General features: G+C 37.2%; 1 protein-coding gene across 19 annotated transcripts in view; it reads left to right on the forward strand.

Annotated features, from left to right (window-relative positions):
• The window catches only part of BBS9 (Bardet-Biedl syndrome 9), a 506483-nt gene that overhangs the window by 427507 nt on the left and 53385 nt on the right, over nucleotides 1-25591 (forward strand). Inside the window, exon 22 of one of the 19 annotated variants that reach the window (NR_145411.1) lies at nucleotides 7989-8067. The exons of the other annotated variants lie outside the window; for them this stretch is intronic. The gene's annotated coding sequence lies outside the window, so the exon portion shown is untranslated. The remainder of the gene's footprint in view (nucleotides 1-7988; nucleotides 8068-25591) is intronic. 19 annotated transcript variants of the gene reach the window in all.

The raw sequence follows: 25591 nt of genomic DNA on the forward strand, positions 1-25591 counted from the left end.
AATTATATTGCCACATTAGCCACCTAAGGTACAAAAGGGCAGTTTGAATGACTTCAGTAGACATTCCAAAATCTAGTTTTAATGAGTAATAAGAAGTACAAGCCTGTCTACAAGAAGACTAACCTAATCTAAAGGGTTCTACGTGGGACTGGGAGTTGAAATGTAAGCTTTTCTATGTCTCTGATCTTTATCTGGCTCATCAGTTATTCAGCAAGTATTTACTTAAGCCCCCTTTTCTGAGCCTTTGTCATTTTAGGCATGAATTTTATAACAAGACCAGTTGCCTTTCCTCTCCCTGGCTTCAGGTCTCCTACAAATGCCAATAATAATATTTCAAAGAAATGCTTTGAAGAATTTATTAGTTCTCCAAAAAAATACCATGATAACCCTGTCTAGAATACTTGTAAAATCATCTCTTCAATTATCCCAAGGTGCTTAATTGGACCGCTTATCTGAAGATCTTTTACTTTTTTTCATTTGCCAAGAATGTCTAGTAATTATGCACTCAGTTTCCATTTGAGTAGCTTTTCGAATTAGCTAGAAGGTCATCATCATTACTTTATATTTAATATCTGAATCTAAGGTTTCTGGTTTCTTTATTGTAGTAATACATTGTGTGCTATCCAGAAACATCACTTAATTTGAGAAAGCATAAAATGCTCAAAGGTACCATACTTTGATTTTTATTGTGAAAATATATTTCAATAACTGACAGACTTATTCTCTACAAACTTGACCCATTTAGTTTCATTCCTTTGCAATTAATGTCAGTCCTTTGGATACAATGGACTGGTGGACCATGCCAGCTGATGAGGGGTAATCCTGGGCATAGTGGGTTCTCTTTCTCTACTCAACAGGCAGGTTTAGCATGAAACTAATCTGCACATGAATTTGTGGCATTTCTAAGGAGCGCATCTAAGTTGATAATGCTGCAGTCTGCTTCCAGACTCTTTTCCAACGATCCTGCAGTTGGCTTGGGACATCCTCCGTGGATTGCAAGATGCTGGAAGATAAGCAGATGGTTTTTCACTTGACCTCTCTGAACCACAGTTTCTTTTTCTTTACCTCCAACTATTAGGATCCCAGGATCCTTATCTTAGTGAGAGTCTATGTTGTAATCCTTACCACCACCATCCCAAGTTCAAGGTTATGGCCTGTGGCCTTGCTAGTAGCTTACGTAGAGCCCTTTGATGGCTCATGAAGTCAGTTCATAGAAAGAAGTGAGGTAAACTGGGAACAAATTGAACATATTTAACTGAAGAGGTGATTTTGCATTAAAATATACCTTTATTATCTCTTGGAATCAAAAATTATTTTATAAATCCTTATTGAATACGTACTCTGTGCCCATTCTGATACTATATAGCCTGCATATATTATGGGGAACAAAATAGACAAAGTCTCGTAAAGTATCCATCCTAGTGGGAAGGGAAAACAGTACACAAACAACAAAAAAGATCATTACTAACTGTTGTAATTAGATGAAGGCAGTAAGCAGGGTAGTGTGATAAGAGTAAATGGCAGGGGAGAAGATACTTGAGGAAGCCTTACTGAGGTGGGGGCACGTGAGGTGAGGATGGATGGGAAGGAGCCAGCAGTGTGAAGATGCACTTGATGGGCTTGGGCATGGCAGGGAAGGCTAGACATTCCAGAGAGAGGGAACAGGGCAGGCAAAGGATTCAAAGGAGGTACGAAAGGAGGCCAGGGTGACTGGGGAGAATGATGTGAGATGGCGTTTGTAAGGTGGACTGGGGCCAGATTATAGAGGAGGCCTTGTTTCAAAATTTAGGTTTTATTAGAAATGAAAATTCTTGAAACAGGCCTTTTTTTTTATGAACCTATTATCTCTTAGACCAAATGAAAGGTGACAGTTTTAACCTTGAATGGCCAACCTGCATTCATAATCTGGAATAATTGTGAGCAGAAGCCCGCAGCATGTTGAAATAGCATTATATTATATTCAAAGGCTAAAGACTGCTCAGTTCTCAGGCATTTATCACTTGAAAGTGGAGAGAGTAGAAAAGTTTAAAAGGCTACAGCAATAACATTTGAGAAAATGAATAATTTAGAGAATGAAATCATGACTAATGAATTTTTTAAAAAGACTCCTCACTTGTGATTAGAGATTCATAATTTTCATTTTATAGCAAAATATAGTTGGCTGTCATGCATTCCTGACCTTCTTCCCCTAAGTACAATTGGGCCCAACACATTAATGCCTTGATGTGCAGACTTACGACTAGCTTCTTGTGTTGAAACCATTAAATTTTAATGTATTCAGCTTAAGCGTAAGTGGTCATAGATGATTCATAATGGTGCTCCCTGCTTTTGGTGAAAATGATCATCAGCAAGAGAATTGTCCCCAGTGGCCACACTTATCTTCGTAGATGATTTCCTAAACATTTTTTGTGCCCGTAGAAGACTAGGAATAAACACTGCACAGCTGTTGGGTAAAGCACTATGATAATTGCTCAGAAACCGCAGGGTATTTGATGAAGATAAAGTGGAACTCTGTAACTCTTGACATTTTATTTTTTAATTCCTGGTGTCTTGGGGGTACAAGTGATACAAGCTGCTCTTTAAGAATGGAGTTAGCCAACGATGATTTTTTTTCTTTAAGAAATATAACCCAAGAGTAGCCCCCAGGATTATGACTTCATCATTTAGCTGTTGGGCATAGAAGCAGGATGAGCCAGGAGGCTTGACTGGCCGAAGCTTCAGATAGCAGCCTTACCCGATAAAAACAGGATTGTGTCTTGGGAATATGAGACTTAACAGCCTGGTAATTACTCGCATGTTCACCTGACCTAACCACTATCCGTGTACTGAAAAATCGCAGCCAAATATGCTGCCAGCTGAGTTTACTTATATTATGCAACCCCTATAGACACATGTGATCTGATCATATCCCTCTAGAGCTTGAAGTCCTTCATTGCCTTCACAATAAACTCCTAATTATCTGCCACGACTCGTGAGTCCCTTCATAATCTAGTTCCTGTGTCTCCAGCCCCTTCATTCTTACTTGCCACCAGCAATTATGCTGCCATCATTCTCACCTATCTGCAGCTTCCAGAAGGATGCATATTCTCCTTTGTTCCCAGATCTCCCTGATCCTGGGCATATTATTCCTCTGCCCAGGATTCCCATCTTTCCTACTGCAGCTGGCTGACTCCTGTAGTCCTTCATAATTCCAATATTGCCTAACGCCATTCATGACTCTTCCCCTGACCCACAACACCCCTCTCTATCAGTTTACCCAGATACCGTATCTGGGATTGCATTGTATTATAGAGCTCTGTTTCCCTTAACCCAACCCTGCAGTGGGATCCTTGAGGATAGTGCATGTGTTTTGTGGCTTTGGTACCCCTAGCGCTTAACATAGAGCCAGCACATGGTAGATGCTTGCTGCAGGACGGATGGGTATATGTAGTATATCTCTTTCCTGGCCCTGAAATTGTGTAGAACAACTGGATTTTCTCCAAACCAGCCTAGGGATCATAGTGGATTATTCTGGGTAGGAACAAGATAACCAAACTTACTTTAGTCTTCCCATCACATTACAAACAATTCAACTGCTTCCCTTTCTAAATGAAGACATTTTTTCCAATCCCTTTGTTTAATGAAGGAACACAGTCCAAACTTGCCGTTAACTTTGTGAAATCACCACGAGATGCATTCATTAACTATTATAAGATTAGCCACACCTGGGTATAAGCTTTGGTTCAGGTGCTTTGAGAATTGCTTTTATCCAAGCAAGGTCAAAATAAAACAGTGCTGCTGCTTACTTCCCCCTCCCCCGTTCACTGTTGCTTCAGTGGATGTACCAAGGAGATGGTCTGTCTCATTAAATAAAGCAATAGTATTTTAGGACTGGAAGATAAATCTAAAAGTCTCCATTCAAATACTCCAGGCCCTTCTGCATGTAAAACCACCCCAGAAAGATAGATGTTTATTCTTAAGCATCTCTAGGGATAGGCTTCCACAGCCCTCTCAATTATGTGTTCCATTATCTCACCAGCCTTCTCATCAGGAAGGTTTTTTCCCTTAATGTTTAACTTTAATCCCTCCTGTTGCAATTTAAGCTCATTTCCTTTTGTCTTGGCTTCAGTGGAAATAAACAATACTCACTAGCACCTACCCATCCCTATTTTTAATTGAACATGTCTGACTTCCCCAGGCAGCTTTTTCTTTCTAGTGCTAAATGGACCCCATTTTGCCTTTTTCTCCTTATGCTACTTCTTGGAGACCCTTCCTTTTAAAACTTGCTTTGCTCTTACTGCAACAACTATTAGGGACTATACATTTCAAGTCTGTCGTTTAATCCTGCAGTTCATTTTTCTAATCTACCAATCTGTGTGATCTTAGTAAGCCACCTAATACACTGAAGAAGAATTGATGGACACCATTTTAAAGTGCTTTAGAGTTGTGGAGTTCTTTTCTAAGTGAACTGCTACCATTGTCCAATATTCTTCTCTCTCCGCCCAACTCCACCCTGGTTTTCCTACTTAAGGGTAAATGTTTGTCCTGTCTTATTTCCTACTTCTTCATGCATAAGTTTAATGCAGGCCATGATGACAGTATTTCTGAGTCCTGCTCTGCCAAGATAGCTCAAAGGATGGAGGAAGAAGAAAAGGGAACAGTTTTCTCTTTTCCTCTAGCCTTTCCCAAATCGTAGAGGTAGTAGCCACCTGAGTTGACAGAAACGATAAATTCCCAGCTCTTGGAACACTGATCTTTTTGGGACTCTGAGATGAGAATTTGGGAATGATATGAGGAGGAAGATGAGTCAGAAAATAAAAATATGCCGTGCATCCACCACCTAAAAATAGAGACTTCTCTCTAAAAACTAGAGAGGAGATCATTAAAAGTGTGAATGAGAATTAAACGGAGTCAAAAACTAGAACAAGAGAAAAGAAGAACAGGAAGAAACAGATCTGATCAAGTATGAAGAAGGAAAAATGCTTTAATTTGTGATCTTCCAACAGGACAATGTCATGGTAAGATTTCTTATTAAAATTAAACCAGCTGAAAATTCCAGAATAAGAACAGTGATTTGAATTTGTAATACAAGTACAGCAGTATTTTCCACTGATGGCTATGTACTTTATGTTATTGATTCAAAGATATTACATAGACATGTTACCAACAATAGTCTTTTCTTTCTTGAAAAATAGTCGTTATTAATTTTACCCCTTAACAATTCTATGTAGTCTGACCTTTTAGGAATAATCCTGGGCTGAAAATAGAGTTGCCATTGAAATTTCAAAGTAACTTCAATTTCAAAGTAGGAATATAAGTAGTAGTATGTTTTATTCTATTAATTGAAGATTGTATTAATGATACTCTGCCTTTCCTATAACTGTGCCATATAGGGCATTTCAAAGAAAGACTAGTTGACCCTTAGATTTACCATTGAAAATCAAAGGATGAAATTGAAATGTATGGCTGGTGGACTGTGAAGTCTCTGTGGTATATACAACAAAGTGATAAAAAACATATATGGTAATAATCACTTTTGGGGGATTCCTTAAGGAGATATTTCTTTTTAAATGTGCATGTCTGTAACCTAGGACTATTCAAAATTAACAACAGCTACTCAAAAGGAAATGAAATATTCTTTTCTCCTGCTTCTCTGAAAAGGCACCATTTGACTAAAGTTTCAATCTGCAGACAAAATAGAATTCCTTCTTCCCCCAAATTTAATTAATTGGCTTCCGCTAGGTCAAGGAGGTGCCTTATTATATGGTACAGCCCCAAATCCTAAACTGAACTTGAAACAGCTAACCTGTGAAAGCTGAAAAAGCCAAATCGCTTGGAAATGTAGTGACAGAAGCCATAGAAAAGGGAAAGGAGGCTGGGCGCGGTGGCTCATGCCTATAATCCCAGCACTTTGAGAGGCCGAGGTGGGTGGACCACGAGGTCAGGAGATCGAGACCATCCTGGCCAACATGGTGAAACCCCGTCTCTACTAAAAATACAAAAATTAGCCGGGCATGGTGGCACGCGCCTGTAGTCCCAGCTACTCGGGAAGCTGAGGCAGAAGAATCACTTGAACCCAGGAGGTGGAAGTCGTAGTGAGCCGGGATTGTGCCACTGCACTCCAGGCTGGTGACAAAGCAAGACTCCATCTCAAAAGAAAAAAAAAGAAAAAGAGAAAGGAGACCATTCTTAACATATTTTTACAAAACCAAGAAATGCTCATTTTGATGACATATTGATGTCATGTTGATGCAATGGAGAGTATAGGTATAATTATTATTATAGAGTGTATTTTTAAAATTTATATTGCTAAAGCCTACAGATTGCAATGGGTCTAGGAGTGTAAATCAGAAGTACTGTCAAAACAGTACTCCAGATGTGTTGAGTCATCTCTGGTGTCAAAAGGATAAGTTCAGATAATAATCAAATAAAGGATTTGCTAGAATATGTGTAGGCACTCAGTCTGATTTATGTTCCCAGTTTTAAGACATCTATGCATTTCACTTCAACTTTAAACCAAGGTCAAGACCACTGGAACCTGGGATCTGGAAATGGGTTTATTGTTAGGATTAGTAACAGTTGTTTTGTTTCACAAACAACTATGGCCATCATTCTAAGAGATTGCTTTTAAAAGAATTTACGATCTCCACTGACACAGGAGGTAAAGTCTATACTGAAAAAGCAGTTCTATTTGAGCTATTTCTGATGTCATTCTGATCCGAAATAAGGACATTTGATTAGAAAATTGAATTTTGATAACTTTGTTATGGCCTATTGTACAACTACTCTCTATCTTAGCATGAAGATAGTGTGGTGCTTTTGCTGCCAAAGAAATAGTGTGTATTTTTGGCCTCTTTTACGCATTTCAAAAGCAACTTTTTATTCTAGTCTGGTGTAAAATTGATTCTCAGGTGAATAACTCAATCCTCTATTCCTGTTGAGTTGCACGTATGGGGTCACTGTAGCTGCAATGTGTATTGTAAGTGATGGTCGAGGGAAGGAATGTCTGAGTATGACTGCAATATAGTATCTGTGCCAATCTGCATTCGGCGCTAAAACAAAGTCATGAGATGCGAAGTGCGAGCTTCTTTGAACAGTGTTTACAGCAGGCCTTATTGCATGATCAGAGTTTCTGAGAAAGCAGCTAACTTAAGACTGCAGATCTCTGTATATTGCTGCCGATAAGACCACATACTTACTGGAACTTATGCTTTATTCATTTTAGCTTTGAAAGATTTTCTAAAAATCTTGCCTGGAATTCATCAATTCTTTAAAAAAAATTTCATTATGTTACTGAATCTTGCTTTAAAGATGAAGATTGTCTTCTTTTGAGCTATCACCTCCCCTTCTTTGTTTTATTGGCAAATTGGAGAGAGAGGAGAGATATCTTATTTATTTTATCTTAGTTACATTATAGTGTAATTTATCTGCTATAGACCTATTCTTACACTATCCACCCATGGCACCCTCATCACCATAGTTGTAACTCACCTGTAATTCGTCTTGCATGTTTGACATTGGAAGGGATTTTAATACAACACAAACAACAAATAATTAGTTGGAAATGATGTGTTATATTTCAGGGGCATTATATATGGAGACAGGCTGACCTGGATTTGTATTCTAGCCTATCACTTACGTTGCCATGTGATTTTGAGTAAGTAACTTAACCTTTCTGGGCCTTAGTCTCCTTATCTGAGACCATAGTAGTGTTGTAAGGACTGATCAAGATAATGCATGGAAGACACTTAGCATAGGACCTAGCCCATGGGAAATGTTCAATTCACGATGACTTTTCGTTTTATTCTGATTATTATAATGGAAAGGTGATTTATTCTTTTTTTTGCGTCAGATGTTCTGAAACTGCGATAGAAGATTACATAAATTCTTGGCTGTCACTTTAAAGCCCTGATCCATTTCTTCTGGAAAAGAGGTGAAAATGTAATGTGTGCTCATTCTGTGATGAGAATAACAACAATCTCACAAATATTTCTATGTTGCCTTACCAGGCATTTGAGATTGAAAGCAGATCCAGCCTGTTTCTCCAAAAACTGAATTCATTGCTGGGAGATAATCTCTCTTTTTGAGGTAAAGAATGATTTGTACTAATTTTTTGGAACTAACACTTAAGAATCCCTGGCTGTAGAACTGCAGTGTAGATATAACATCAAAAGGAAATATTTATATAATGTAGTGCATGAGGCTACACAGGGAAGTGAAAATAGCTTGATGGTTGGTATTAGGTGAACCTATTTAAAATCTAGATTCTACTTACTAATCATTTGCTTTGGTGTCATTTCTAAAATGGTGGTTATAATGCCTACTTCATAAGGATATTGAAATATCAAAAAAGATAACATATATGAAGTGCCTTGAGCTAGTCTTTGGTACATAGTCGATGCTCAGTAAATCTTCATTGTCTTCTGTCCTTCCTACAGTGTTTCACATATTTCCATGTACTACTATCTCTTTTTTACTGACTTGTCTTACTTTTAGACTTTCTGACCTTGAGCCTTCACTTCTGAGCCATTCCTATGTTTGCTTACTTGGTATGAGGAAGCCTGATTCTGTCACATAAGTTGCCTATTAGAGTTTCAGGAAAATGCAACTTAAAGGGAAATTAGGTGGTAACTGTGTACTGGCTGAAACATTTGTGAGCTCCCAAAAAATGCATCACTGCCAGGTAATGACTTCTGTTCAATAAGTCTATGTAGTCAACAGAATGATGTTATTCAGTAGTTTATTTTCTTTTGTTGTTTATCTTGGTTCCCTGTCTTTTTGTTTTCCAGGGTGCATGATGATAGCAGAGATTGTTTTAAATTCTATATTCAGTTCAGAGCTTCTGGGTTGTGGGTATTGTCTTGCCAGTGAATGTGAAAGACAGGCATGTCATCACTTAAGTTTTAACAGTCTATCTTCAGGTCTGACTTGGAAACTTGCATAATAGCCAGCATCCAAATAGGGTTGAAGGCAGAGCCCAGATCAATACAAAACATTAAGGCTATCAGTAGTATATATATATATATATATATATATATATATATATATATATATATACCGCTATATATACTGCTTATATATATATATATATATATATATAGCTATAAATAAATTAGGATACCTCTTAGACTGCAGTTGTAGAGTATTTATACAGGTACAAGGTGAGAAGTGGAAGAGATGGTGTCCCAGTATCTTATTTGAATCACTTATTTACTATTGGGGAAAAAAAATGTAAGGAGTGTGGTCTGCGGATAACATCTGGACCAGTTTTATCTACAAATGTCTATTTAAGTTTCCTTCCATTAGACAGATTCTGTTGACTTCTGCCTTATGGGTAACAGACTCCATTCTATACTCACACCTTCACATATTTATAGACACAATATTGATATACTGATGGAAAAGATTGGTTCTCATTATTGTTAAGATATTGGCATAATGTTAGGTCAGTGATCAAGAAATGCTGCAGACAAGAATTAATGCTTTTTTAAAAAAAGATGTCTGTACTTTTGCCAAGTTTGAAAGATATGCATGTAATATATATATATATATTCACAATACATAATACATGATGCATAACATAATTACTAATATTATACATCTATGATGTATATGTATACATTATGTATATATATTTTGAAATTCTGATGGTAGGTTATTTCCTGAAAGACAGAGAATTTTGGGAGTAACATCACCCTTAAAGTTCCCACTTAATGAAGAAAATCAAACACTTATAAGGACCTTATAACTTAAAATTTAAAGAGGAGTTGCTCTGTTGTTTGTTTTGAAGAAGTATCTATGATTTGAAAGGTAGAGATAAAAGATTTAGTGCTTTTCAAATTTAAATGCCTGTTTTCTATTTTTATAGCTCTGGTTATTATCAGAATGCTACCTTTTTATTTTTTTAACAAGGTGAATTAGTTAGTCATTACTGTATGTATACAGTGCATTTTTGCCAAAAGTTATAAAACACATATGTTATTAATATAAAGACAAAACTTTCAAATCACAGATGCTAAATTGGCTTAAATTTCATTGAAGAAGAATGTACATTTGACAAATTAGAGACACATTTTTCCAAAGAAAATTATAAGAACAAATATTAGATCCTTTATGTTAAAAGTGTAAACAGCTAGAATTTAAGAACGTAAGAAGAATAACTGTATATGAGGAACTAAGTTTCCCCAGGTTGTAAGTTTCTTTCCAGTGGTAGTTCAGTGGGGTAATGAGACCAATAAAAGGAAAGGGAGATAGGAATGATGATGGGGTTCTGTTCGCCTTCAGAATGGAAGCCTGATGTCATGTGGAAGTAGATTTAATTAGATGTGCATTTCTTAAGGAATCCGTAAATCAAGTCCAGACTGTTCTCTATTAAATTTTTAGGGTGAGCCTACCTGAAGTTCTATCTTTGTGCGTTTTCATTCTATCTGATGATACAGTGCTCTTTATGTGACCTGAAAAATATATAAACTCATTTCTTCTCCCAGCAGCATTCAAACTCAGCAGTCTCTCTCTTCTTTAAATGTGCATATTCCATATATCTCCCTGGATACCAGGACTCTCAGTAGCTGTTGCTATTTTGTTCTCCTACTTTGAAACATACTTTTCTGAAATCACCTACCTTGTTATTTCTCTTAACTTTTGAGCAGTATTTGGTGCTGCTGACGATTTTCTCCTTGAGCACTCTTCCCCAGGCTCCAGGGCATCACTTTCCACTGATTGTCTCATCTCCTTGGCTGCTCCTTCTCAGCCTCTTTCATGGGCCTCTCTTCTCTGCTTAGCCTGAGAAGTTGGTATTCCTTCAGATTCTGTCCTTGGCTCTTCTCATTTACTGGGTGGTTTTAATTTCTGTTATTAGTTACTTTCTGCATGCTGATGACTTCTCAATTTGAATTCTCACCAGGTCTTCTCTCCCAAGCTCTAGATCCATACATCCAGTTGTTTATTGACCTTTTCCACTTAAATGTGACAGAAGTACCTTAATCTCAATATTTTCAGAAACTGAAGTCATTATCTTCCATACCCCGTCTTACCCCAAAACCTACTTCTCTTTGTATTTAATATCTCAGGATTAGTACTGGCACCTATAGGTGCTCAAGCTAGATTTAAATAGATGCATAAAATCTCTTGCCCTGAACCATATCTCTCTGTCCCCACCCATTAGCCTAGCTTAGGCCACCACTATTGCTACATTTGCTTTGTTGCAGCAGCCTGTTCTCCCTTCCTGTAGTCTTTCTTCTTCAATACATTTTTTATACTTCAGAACACATAGAAAGAACTTCCTTGGCTTACAGTCTTACTTCTTTGCCTCCTATTATCTCTAGGCTTAAGTACCAATTCCTTAATATGGTTATCAGGCCCTTCGTGACCTCATGATTTCATCATTGCTTTCTTTTCTAGCCTTGTCTCTCAGCACTCCCCATACCAGTGCATGACATGGATTTTTCTCTTTAAAAATGTGTACGTGGCTTCCTCTCTGGAGCTCCTGCCTCTTCCTCCCTTACCACTTTTGCTTGGTGAGTTTCTAATTGACTTAATTTCTCAGCATGCATGATATCTCCTCCAGAAGCTCTTGCTGACATCCCCACTTCCTTCCTCCCACTTAACCAGAGTTTTGTGTTTTCTCCTAGGTAACCCTATCGCTTACCCCTATCATGGATTTATCCTAATGTATTAGAACTGTCTTTTTACTCTCACATTTCCCTTCTAGACTGTAAGTTCCTTAAGGTTAGCAATGGGCTTATCTGTGTTGTAACTTGTTAGTAGTTCCTGGAACATAGTGGATACTACAAAGCTATTTCTTGAGTTGAGTGTATGCATGAATTACTGTGACAATTCCTTACTGTTTCCATAGTGGTTTTGCCAATGTCATCATGTATCATATCTTCTCTTATTTTCAGAATTTCTCTTCTAACTTCTATAAGAGCTTAACTTCAAAACATGTTGAACAGTATATACTGCTAAATGAAAAAGGGAAATACAGAATGGTGTTATGGTATGCTTCCCTTCGGGTAAGAAGGAAGGAATATAAGAAAATATATGTGTATGTATTTATTTGTGTAAAAGAAATTAAAGCAGGATAAATCAGAAACTAAAGAGATTGGTTACCTATAGGAAGTGAATGGCAAAGGGGTAGAAAGAAGGGGAGAGAGATGGAAACAAGATAAAAAGGATAAGGAGGGTGCAATTCTTTTCTGAGAAGCTCTTTGTGTTTTGCTTGATTCCTAGAAACATAGTAGTGTTTTGCATACTCCCTCTCTATAAATAAATAGATCAATAAAACCAGGATGTAGGGGAACCTAAAATTGGATACAAAAATATAACAGATGAGCCTGACTTTATTGTGAATTGATATTGATAACATATTTACACTGAAGGGGGTGGGAAAGAAAAGCACTAATCTGGGTATTTTGACTGGTATTGTGAGGCTAAGGGTAAAAAGTATTATACACAAACGCTTCGCTCAAGTTAGTGAATTTGTGTATCCTAGCAGTGTGGATTATCAATTCTGAAACTGCTTTATGTGTATGCTAGGATTAAACAAAGAAGTTAGAAGTACAGAAGTGGGAACCCTGTAGTATCAAACTCAATCAGAGGTTGTAGTATGAACTCATGGTTTTTAGTATATACAGATGTGTATATATATATAGTAGCATACAGACATATATATATATGCAGATATATAAATGCAAAAATAAAAATAGGCCGGGCGCAGTGGCCCACGCCTGTAATCCCAGCACTTTGGGAGGCCGAGGCGGGCAGATCACGAGGTCAGGAGATCGAGACCATCCTGGCTATGGTGAAATCCCATCTCTACTTAAAAAAAAAAAAAATACAAAAAATTAGCTGGGAAGGGTGGCTGGCGCCTATAGTCCTAGCTACTCAGGAGGCTGAGGCAGGAGAATGGCGTGAACCCGGGAGGAGGAAATTGCAATGAGCCGAGATCGCGCCACTGCACTCCAGCCTGGGTGACAGAGCGAAACTCCGTTTCAAAAAAATAAAATAAAATAAAATAAATGCAAAAATAAAATAGACGAATGTGTGCATGCACATGCATACATAATACATGATATTCCCTAGCTCTGTCTGAAGAGGACCTGGGAACAAAGAGGGCCTGGGAGCAAAGACATACTAGTAGTAGTGAACATACCTGGTGCCCAGATTTTGGTTTCTAATTACCATCTCTAATAAAAATAACCAGGCTGATTATGTAGGTAATACATGCTTATCTTAAAAAGTGGTTTTATTCTGCTTTTCTTACTTTCTGTATTGTAAGCACTGTCCCATATGAGAAAAAGCATTTTTCAAGATTCAAAGCATATCCAAAAGCAAGGAAGTTTTGCATTAAATATAAATAGTAATAGCACCTTCTTCTACGTGACAGAAGATATAAAAATTAAATACTTTAAAAAAGGAACCAGAGCTCCTTGGAGAAGTGGTTGATTCCAGGGCAGACTCAAGAAAACACAAGATGAGCCAGAAGCATCTTCTAGTGCCAGAAGGCTGAAAGTGCGCTCAAAAGACATAGAAGCCAGCCTCAAAGAGCTTCCAACAGCCAAAGCTGGAACAATTTGAGCAACAAAACAAATAATGGTGATATTAGATTATAGCCTGTAGAATAAAAGAAATATGAACCCATACTGATATAAATAAATAAATAAAAATAGGGGGGAAAGGACAGCTATTCCTTACAGTAAAATTCCATTTGATAAATGAAGAAGAAATGAGAGAATGTAAAATCACCATTAGACAAACATCACAATAGCCATTACTGCAAGCAAGATCCAGCAGTGGATGCTAACATCAGTGAGAGAAAGTTTGAAGAGAAACAAAATATTTGCATAGTCTCAAATATATTTATTAATTTTAAGGGAAAACTGTTACTTTACAGGAGAGAGACCTAGTAGACATCACCTTAACCAAATGATCACAGTGTAATGAGACATATCAACATCATGTATCACACATGTGATGCACTGAGAAGTGTACAACATCATTTCTGTGGTATTAGTGACAAAGGCACACAACCTCAATCTAATTATGATGAAGCACCAGACAACCCCAAGTTGACAAACATTTCAGAAAATAATTCGTCAGTATGCTTCAGGAGTGCCAGTGTCATGAAGACTAAGGAATTATCACAGACTGGAGGAAACTAAGGAGATATAACAACAGATGTGATGTGGAATTTCATAATGGATGCTGAAACAGAAAAGGGACATTAGTGGAAAAACTGGTGAAATTTGAATAAAGTCTGTCAGCTAACTAGCTAACGATATAATACCAATGTTAATTTCCTGGTTTTGGTAATTTTACTGTGGTTATATAAGATGTTATATAGGTGAGGGGTATATGGAAACTCATTGTACTATTTTGTTTTCAATCTTGCTCTAAAATTATTTAAAACAAAAAAGTTTATAAAGAGGAACTACAAATATGCTCTATGGTCTCTTCCTAAAAACAAATACATACAGATATTTAGGATAAAGCTATTGGGTTATCGATTGACTTTTGACTTTTATAATTTAGGTATGTGTTTTACCATTTTGAGGGAAACTACTGAAAGAACAGAATAGAATAGAGAAAAAACAGAAAATATTAAAGGAGACAAGAAAAAAGAAGAAAATGGGAGGACAACTGGAAAACATAAAATGCTCTTTCTGCCAGATTAAGGAAAGTCTCTTTTATTCTGAGTTTGCTGAAAGTTCTTACCATGAGTGGATGTTTTAAGCTCATTAAATGTATCTTCTGCATCTTTGAAATGATCATTTAATTTTTCTTATTTTTTTGCCATATTTCTTTTAATTTTTATCTATAATTAGGAAATTTTTCTCAATCCCAGGCTACAGAGGAAGTTTATATTTTTTTATAGTTACATGGTTTCATTAGTATAGAACTCTTATCATTTTGGAATTTGAGATGCCACAGTAAGGTACACTCAACTTCCATGTGCAATTAAATTTTACATTCATCAGGCAGCATTCTGCTAAAAGAACCCTCTCTTTTTCAATATAAATGTTTAATTTTTACATATAGATAATATTTGTACATACCATAAATATGTAGTACATGTGATATTTTGATACAAGGATACCATTGGCAATGATCAAATTAGGGTAATTGGAACATCAGTCACTTCAAATATTTTATCATTTCTTTGTGTTAGGAACATATCAATTCCACTCCTCTCGTTATTTTTAAATATATAATAAATTATTGTTAGCTATAGTCTTTTTATTGTGCTTCTGAACATTAGACCTTATTCCCTGTATCTAGTTGTATTTTTGTATTTACTATCCAAACCTTTTTATCCCCTGCTCCTCACTACCCTCCCAGCCTCTAGTAACTGTCATTCTACTCTCTTATTTCCATGAGGTCAATATTTTAGCTTCCACATATGAGTTAAGGCAGGATAAGAACATGCAATATTTGTCTTTCTGTGTCTAGCTTATTTCACTTAACGTAATGTCCTGTAGTTCCATCCATGTTATTACAAAGGAAAGGATTTCATTCTTTTATGTCTGAATAATATTCCATTGTTTATATGTATCACATTTTCTTCATTCATTCGTTGATGGACACTTAAGTTGATTACATATCTTGCCTAGTGTGAATAGTGCTGCAATAAACATGGGAATGCAGATCTCTCTTCAATATACCAATTTCCTTTCTTTTGGATATATATACAGCAGTGGGATTGCCAGATCATATAATAGTTCTATTTTTAGTTTTTTGAGGAACCTCCATACCGTTTTCCATAGTGGTTGTATTAATTTACATTCCCACCAACAGTGTACAAACATTCCCCTTTCCCCACATCCTCACCAACATCTGTTACTTTTTCTCATTTTGATAAAAGCCATTTTAACTGGAGTGAGATGATGTCTCATTGTGGTTTTGATTTGCATTTCTCTGATGATTAGCGATGTTGAGCATATTTTTCATGTATGTGTTGCCCATTTGTATACCTTCTTTGGAGAAATGTCTGTTCAATCTTTTACCCATTTTTAATTGGATTTTCTTTCTTTTTTTTGCTATTGAGCTGTTTGAGAACTTTCTCTTGTCTATCAATCAACTATTTACCTATCCATTTTTAAAATTAATATAGGATTGATGGATTCATTTTATTCAGTGGTTATACTTCACTACTGCCTTTGCTTATTTTGATACTGAAAATTTCCCAGATTTGAGCAGAGGAAAATAATTCAGGCTCCTGTGTCCTCCTTCCCTCTCACCCCTCCCTGGCTCCTCTTTCTGTTCTTCCCTTTCCCTCTTTCTTTCTTGTAATTTTATTGAGATATAATTCACATGCCACAAAATTCACCCTCCTATGTCCTTTTAATATGCCCCCATCATTTTTTTCCCTAATTTTCTAATTTTCTGGTACAATAAGACATTTTTGGCCTATTTTGTACCTTCCCAAGCTTGAAATAAGCAATTTCTCCTGGTTCTTTTTAGTATAGGATATTATTAAGAAACCAGTATCTGAGTAGTAGTTGTGCTTATTGCTATTGGTGTGTTATTGCTTCTTGATTCTTCAGTGGACAGGAAAAACGTACGAAGAAGTAAATGTTTATGATTTGTTTGCTCTTCTATTCCCTAGACTGCTTTTTTAACATCTAAAAATGGTAGCTCATGAAATATACTCTTTTGCACTTTGATTTTGCAGGGTAACAGTGTACCCTAGATATCAGGTTCTACCAGTTCATAGAGCTCTTTCTTATTCTTGTCTAAGCTTTATAGTTCTCCAATTTATGGATATACCATAGTTTATTCAACCACTCTCATTTAAGTAGTTTCAACTGTTTTGCTACTGCAAAAAAATGCTGTAATTTATTACTTTGTGCAGATATATTTTCATTTTATTAAAGGTATTGATAATTAATTTTAAGACTTCATCTTAGCTATTTCTTAAAACTTTATCAAAGGCGCTCACTAGGGGTGTTACTGACTGATTTGTTCCACCTTATTTTTTATTTCTCATTTACTCTCTGGTAGATATAGTAATGTACAGTGAAATAGTGAAGATGCAGATAGCCAAGGAGTAGAAGAGAGTAGGGTATGAGAACATTAACTCCTAAATAATAAAGGTTGGCTACTTAGTTGTTCCCATTTCACATGTACAAGGCTATTTGCACCTAGCTTGGGGTTTTTAGTTGCTGGCATTAGTGGTGGCGCTGCTATCTTTGTCTTCAGGTGGTTCACTGGTAGAATATTTAAAAAGGAAGGTCCTCAAAGACTGTCCACTTCAACTTCTCCATTGTGCATGTGGGGTCCCAGTGCCCACAGGCTTACCTGATATCACATAGCATTTTAATGGTGAGCTGTGACTGGAACCAGATCTCCAAACACATGCTTGTTCCACCTACACCACATCATCTTTCCTTTTACAAACATCAGACTTTGGCATGGAGTGGGAAAAACTTTTTTTGCAAATAGTGAATATAAGAAGCTAAATAACTTATTTTGATTTTAACTTTTAAGGTCCTTTATTTTTTTGCTCCAATTTTTGCTGCAACTCTTTGCCCTTTCTTCTCACCAACTGTGGGTCAGTGGTAAGCAGCAGATACACAGTGCTTACTATGTGCTGGCCACTTTTTAAGCACATTACACATATTAAAGCATTTATCCCTTCCAGTCATCCAACAAGGTAGAGATGATTTCAGATGAAGAAGATGAGGCCCAGAGAAGCTAAGTAACTCATTCAAGGTCACATGCATGTTCAAGGTCTGGGCTGCTGATTGATAAAGTCCTGGCAGCACAGACAAGAATATGTCTCCCTGATGTCTTTTATTTTTTTCCCCTGCCATATTTGGTACCAGAGCCAGAGATCCCCTGGGACCACACAGATTATCCTAGAAATTTCTGATACAGGGAAGAATAAGTACTTCAATTGTACTGGAAGTCATAGAAAACACACACACACACACACACACACACACACACACACACACACGCGCACACACACACACTTTCACTATTTATTTATTTTATATAGGTTATGTGTAAACTATATAGAGAGAGTTTGACAGGTTATTTCAGAGTGAGTGGAAAGACTTTCAAAAGAAAATTTGAAGACATTTTAAAACTTTTTCCTTTCAGCAGTTAATTGATTGCTATTTTTAAATTTAAAATATGCATACTTTAAATACCTCAAGATTTCTTGAAGTTATAACTTGGGCTTCTTGCTTACGATTAATTAAAAAGAAGTGATCTTTTTATTCACAAGTGGGGCTTTTATCTGGCTTCTACTATTATGTAACCTTATCTGACTTGAACAGGTCTGGTGATAGGATGATTTACCACTCTAAACTTCAGGACTTGAGGCTGGTAAGTATTTGTCTTTTAAAAGTATGAAATGATTTAAAAAAAGATATTCCAACCTCTCCCAAGTAGAGGAGGACAGAGAAGAATTGATGCTGCATGCTCTTGGCTGGCCCAGTATTCCTTTCAACTTTTTAGTTGAATTAGAGTGGTGTTCTCATGGGTTCAATCATGCTGTCATGAAACAGTTCATCAGTATGTCTCTTAAAAGCCTTAAATAAATGTCCTCTTGGTACACATACACCCTCCCAAGACTAAACCAGGAAGAAGTTGAATCTCTGAGTAGACCAATAACAAGCTCTGAAATGGAGGCAATAATTAACAGCCTACCAACCAAAAGAAGTCCAGGACCAGATGGATTCACGGCCAATTTCTACCAGAGGTACAGAAAGGAGCTGTTACCATTCCTTCTGAAACTATTCCAATCAATAGAAAAAGAGGGAATCCTCCCTAACTCATTTTATGAGGCCAGTATCATCCTGATACCAAAGCCTGGCAGAGACACAACAAAAAAAGAATTTTAGACCAATATCCCTGATGAACATCGATGTGAAAATCCTCAATAAAATACTGGCAAACGAAATCCAGCAGCACATCAAAAAGCTTATCCACCACAATTAAGTCAGCTTCATCCCTGGGTTGCAAGGCTGGTTCAACATACACAAATCAATAAACATAATCCATCACCTAAACAGAACCAACAACAAAACCACATGATTATCTCAATAGATGTAGAAAAGGCCTTAGACAAAATTCAACAGCCCTTCATGCTAAAAACTCTCAATAAACTAGGTATTGATGGAACATATCTCAAAATAATAAGAGCTATTTATGACAATCCCACAGCCAGTATCATACTGAATGGGCAAAAACTGGAAGCATACCCTTTGAAAACACGCACAAGACAAGGATATCCTCTCTCACCTCTCCTATTCAATGTAGTGTTGGAAGTTCTGGCCAGGGCAACCAGACAAGAGAAAGAAATAAAGGGTATTCAATTAGGAAAAAAGGAAGTCAAATTGTCCCTGTTTGCAGGTGACATGATTGTATATTTAGGAAACCCTGTCATCTCAGCCCAAAATCTCCTTAAGCTGATAAGCAGCTTCAGCAAAGTCTCAGAATACAAAATCAATGTGCAGAAATCACAAGCATTCCTATACACCAATAACAGACAAACAGAGAGCCAAATCATGAGTGGACTCCCATTCACAATTGCTATAAAGAGAATAAAATACCTAGGAATCCAACTTACAAGAGATGTGAAGGACCTCTTCAGGGAGAACTACAAACCACTGCTCAACAAAATAAAAGAGGACATAAAGAAATGGAAGAACATTTCATGCTCATGGATAGGAAGAATCAATATCGTGAAAATGGCCATGCTGACCAAGGTAATTTATAGATTCAATGTCGTCCCCATCAAGCTACCAATGACTTTCTTCACAGAATTGGAAAAAAACACTTTAAAGTTCATATGGAACCAAAAAAGAGCCCGCTTTGCCAAGACAATCCTAAGCAAAAAGAACAAAGCTGGAGGCATCACGCTACCTGACTTCAAACTATACTACAAGGCTACAGTAACCAAAACAGCATGATACTGGTACCAAAACAGAGATATAGACCAATGGAACAGAACAGAGGCCTCAGAAATAACACCAGACATCTACAATCATCTGATCTTTGACAAACCTGACAAAAACAAGAAATGGAGAAAGAATTCCCTATTTAAATGGTGCTGGGAAAACTGGCTAGCCATATGTAGAAAGCTGAAACTGGATCCCTTCCTTACACCTTATACAAAAATTAATTCAAGAGGGATTAAAGACTTACATGTTAGACCTAAAACCATAAAAACCCTAGAAGAAAACCAAGGCAATACCATTCAGGACATAGGTATGGGCAAGGACTTCATGACTAAAACACCAAAGCAATGGCAACAAAAGCCAAAATAGACAAATGGGATCTAATTAAACTGAAGAGCTTCTGCACAGCAAAAGAAGTTACCATCAGAGTGAACAGGCAACCTACAGAATGGGAGAAAATTTTTGCAATTTACCCATCTGACAAAGGGCTAACATCCAGAATCTACAAAGAACTTAAACAAATTTGCAAGGAAAAAAAACAACCCCATCCAAAAGTGGGCAAAGGATATGAACAGACACTTCTCAAAAGAAGACGTTTATGCAGGCAACAGACACATGAAAAAATGCTCATCATCACTGGTCATCAGAGAAATGCAAATCAAAACCACAATGATATACCATCTCACGCCAGTTAGAATGGCGATCGTTAAAAAGTCAGGAAACAACAGATGCTGGAGAGGATGTAGAGAAATAGGAACACTTTTACACTGTTGGTGGGAGTGTAAATTAGTTCCACTATTGTGGAAGACAGTGTGGAGGTTCCTCAAGTATCTAGAACTAGAAATACCATTTGACCCAGCGATCCCATTACTGGGTATATACCCAAAGAATTATAAATCATGCTACTATAAAGACACACGCACACGTATGTTTATTGTGGCACTATTCACAATAGCAAAGACTTGGAACCAACCCAAATATCCATCAGTGATAGACTGGATTAAGAAAATGTGGCACATATACACCATGGAATACTATACAGCCATAAAAAAGGATAAGATCATGTCCTTTGCAGGGACATGGATGAAGCTGGAAACCATCATTCTCAGCCAACTGTCACAAGGACAGAAAACCAAACACCGCATGTTCTCACTCACAGGTGAGAATTGAACAATGAGAACACTTGCACACAGGGCGGGGAACATCACACACTGGGGCCTGATGGGGGATTGAGGAGTAGAGGAGGAATAGCATTAGGAGAAATACCTAATGTAAATGACGAGTTGATGGGTGCAGCAAACCAACATGGCACATGTATACCTATGTAACAAATCTGCACATTGTGCACATGTACCCTAGAACTTAAAGTATAATTTTAAAAAATGTCCTCTTGCTAAGAAGTCTGAAAATTGGATTCAGACATATCTTTGCCCTATCACTTTATTTTTTTATTTGTAATAATTTTATACTATTATCATGCCTTCACACAAGTTATCACATTTAATTTCTACATAGATCTTGAAATAAGGAGGGAAGCTATTACCACCAGTGTGTAGAGAAAACTGAGTCTTAGAGATTTTAAGCAATTTGCCCCAGGTTGCAGTACAGTGGTGAGGTAGAGCTGGTAGGAAATGAGTAAGCTGGACTCCTGACTCCAATGCTTGTTCTTCCCTACAAGGCAGGACACTCCCAAGTGGGATGACTTGCGATCCCAGAAATCACAATAGTTGTTCAGCTGTGGTCTGGAATGGAGCAAGACAATGCCAGAGACTGCTTCTTCTTTTTTCACAGGAAGTCACCTGCTTGTGCAGGCCCTTTAAGACTACTTTTGCACTGCTCTACATATTTCTCTTGTTTTGGTGGAGAACTCTGCTAAATATTTGAAGCCTAGTTTTGGCAAGTTCTGAAAGATAAACCAGAAGTTACATAGGAAGTTGAGTGTGTTACCACTCACCTAGCATAATCTCCCTGCCACACACAGCCTGAAAACAAAAACAAAAACCAAGGTTTCAGGTAGGAATTTATGCTTTTACGTTGCATTGCCTTTTGGGAAGGACTCATCGTCACAGCTGTGTTCTGAGATGCCTGAGCTGTTAAAATCTATCCCATATCAGTATATAAGCTTTCATATTTCCTGTATCTCTAGGACAAAGGACAATGGTGTAGTTTTCCAACTGGATTCAGAATATACTTAGCAAAGCATATGCAAAAACATATGCAAGAACTAGTATGAAACATTGGAGTAAAGCCCAAAGGAAATATGCATTAAAAGTACCAGAACATGAAAATCCTGTGTTCAAAGAAGCGCATTCAGCGGCTTTAGGCTGCTGCCTTTTGCAGGCTCTGCTCTCCCACCAGGCTTCAGGGCTGTCTGTTTCTCCACAGTCAGAAAGCTAAAGCTTGCTCTTTGGCCCTAAGTCCTGACAACTTGAAAATCTTAGTATTGGGCATTCCTATTTGAAATCCCTAATAAAAGTGGGAAATTTTTGAAGGGCCATCCTTTTCAGTGTTTAGCTTGGAATTCATCCTGCCCTTCAGGGGCCTCCAAAAAAGACAAACCACTTCATCCTCTGAAACACTTCATTATGAGCTGAAAGGGAGCCAGTACAGAAGACCCTATTCTATCTGAGATGGAACAGGACAGTATGTTTGTCTTGTTTCCTAGTATTGCCAGGTCTTAGGGTCACCAAGCCATCCACTGTCTCAAGTTGGTCTTATTTATTTGTGTCATGCAAAGGGGAATTCATTTTCTAAATTGTTAAGAGTTAAAATATGTTTATTACACTCTTTGGAAGGTTTGGCCCGGCGTGTATCACAGCCCTGTCTTGAAGCACTGAGGTTTGTTTTCCATCAATTTTCGCCTCAAACATGAAAGAAGTTTCAACAGTGGCTAGGATATTACCTGTCATTTTAATGATCAGATGAAGAGAAGTTAAATTATAAGATGACCTGGACAACAACCAGACTTCAGAATCCATTTCAATAAAGTGTTAGTGAGCTTCCCAGTACCCCTGATGATGGTGAAAAAAATAAAATGTCAGCCAAGCATTTCAAGACAGATTAGAGAATTACCCAATTCCCTCCACCTCCTCACTCTAAGTCTAAGGCAAATGTTTGTTTAAAAATTTAAAACTAAGCAGTTTATGTTCAACTGGATGAATTCATTCATTTGGGACAGAACACCAACCAAAAAATGTAATCTATAATGTTTGCTTCATACCTAGTATATTCTTCATGAAGAACTCTCTTTTCTGTGTCATTACTCAATTGGAACACCATAAATGCAGCAAAAAGTTTTATTTAATTATTAGCTGTTTTAAAACCAATTTATTTATGATAACAATAACATTTGTCGACCACTTTTGTATGCCTGGCATATCCTTATGGGAACTTTTATTTAATCTTTTAAAAAATCCTACAAGATAGGTACTTATTACCCCCCTACTTTATAGATGACTGAATAGAGGCCTCTGCTGGTTAGGTGACTTGCCAAAGGCCATCCAGCTGTGGAGCAGGAACTGAAGCCCAGGAGTCTCACTCCAGCACGGTACCCTCTTCACTAGATGATTTTCTGTCATGTAGCTCAATTAGCCCGGGTAACATGGTTGGTTGATGACACGTCTACTAGATGATCACTCGAGAAAAGAAAGTTAATCACGAGGCATTGTTTTTCAGGGACAATGGGAGAAATTGACTTTTTAACATGCTTATTTAGCATCTGTATAATTGTAGTGGGCCCTGTAGAAGTAATTTTATAGAAGTAGACTTAGGTAGAAATGAAGTAGGTAACAGTCAAGAAATAAGATTGCTTATTTGTATGCAAAACAATAGCCTATGGCTTATGTTGCCAAGAAAAGACTTTGTTTTTCCTTTTTAAGTGATGACTACCCATATGCTGCTCAAAAGAGACCAGAGAAAACATCAAAGAACCCTACAAGAGGCTGAACCAGAGAATATTCTGGAAGGTTGTTAAAGAATAATTTCACTGAGGAGAAATTTTTTACAGATGAAACTGGCAGATGGGAGTTATTCATTCATCTCTTCCAGAAATAGCTGAAAGGAATACAATAGAAATCATTCTATTTTGAACATATATAGGGTGATGGATTCAGCCAGGATGCTAAGACAGTTTTGGATTTTTTCAGTTTTATATGCTTAGGGTTTCCATGAATATCACTGAAACCCGTGATTCAGTAACTTGGAGTGCTAGAGGTTTAATGCTCTCTCTGCATTGTGAACCACATCATTTAGAACAGAACCTTTGGAAAAAGTAAAGGTTGTTTTGAACATTGGTAAGTATCCATACCAAGCTGTGTTATACAGCCAGTCATTGGCCATGGCCGTCAGAGAAAGCCTTTGTCTACCACTTACCGAAAGGTGTGTATTTTGTGTGTATTTTTGTGTGTGTGTGTGTGTGTGAGAGAGAGAGAGAGAGAGAGGAAGAGAGTGAGAAGAATCTTTTTTATTTGTTTTTTTTTGTTCTAAAATGTCCATCTTGGGCCAAGACACTGTGTACTTGCTTCGGGGAAAAAGACTATAAAATAGGACACTTGTTTCAAAAATAAGTAGTTTTTCTAGTAGAATTAAATGATAGCAGAGTAAGTTCTTCTCACTGGCGAAATGGAAGGTCACTGTATGTCCAGAGACTTTATTTACACCTATAAACGTTATGACTGTGGCACATTAAGCCCATATTCTTGTACATAAAAAGCCACTTTACCTCAGCCTTAACTTGTTCCTGTAAAAACAGAGCTTTGTTTTATAGCCTGTCTAGCTGTATCTCTGCTTGACAAATAGACATCAAATAAAGAAGCAATTGTGCAAGAAGGCTCATGTAACTTACTCAGAGACTTTGGCTAGATCTACTTACCTGAACAGCCTTCAGTAGTAACAAACGGAGCCCAGCTGATAAATAGCTGGTTTTAATTTTCATGAAAGTTAGAAGTATCACCTGCCAAGAGGGTTGGTTATTCTTGTAGTTTGGGTTCAAAAGCCTTGCTGGTTCCAGAATGATGATAGCCACTAACATTTATATGATATTCTGACCTTTTCAAAATCATTTATATGATCTCATTTTATCCTTACAAGGTTTTTAGAAAGTAAAAGCCATAATATATATAGCATATACTGTTTCAGTTTGTTTTTCACGCACATGAATTTAAACACACACGATTTCCAGAATAATTTACTATCAATTCCTTAATAGACTAATGTACTCTTTTTTTTTCTTTTCTTATTTTCCTTTTCTTATTTTCCTTCTTTTGTGTTGTCTAGACAGTTTTACTTCCAATTATTTTACACCATGGTTAGTCATCGGTGAGCTTCCAGGCCTTTGCAGAACATTGTGATTTTTTCTTTTCTTTTCTTTTTCTTAAGACTTGATGTAAAATCATGACTTGTCTTTTTTCTGCTTGGTTTTCTCACCTACCCCTAGCCCCTCTTTGCTGTAATAGATATTGACCCTAAGTCCTTGAGTTATCTCAGTCAGGGCACTGGGTGAGGGAAGGCCTATCAGACATCTGAGTGGTTGTTGGAAAATATGGAGGAGTTAGGCCAACTAGGAGGCAGAGGTGTTCCAGGCTGAGTAAACTGTATGCATGCAAAAAGGCACAGAGGTGGGGCACAGTGTGAGGAGGCTCGGAAATGTAATGTGAGCAGACCCATGGGGCTGCTTGGAAGGGGTGGTGTCCATCAGAGGAGGCTGG

The sequence above is a fragment of the Homo sapiens genome, chromosome 7 (genome assembly GCF_000001405.40).
Source record: "Homo sapiens chromosome 7, GRCh38.p14 Primary Assembly".
In the NCBI taxonomy this organism is placed as follows: Eukaryota; Metazoa; Chordata; class Mammalia; order Primates; family Hominidae; genus Homo; species Homo sapiens.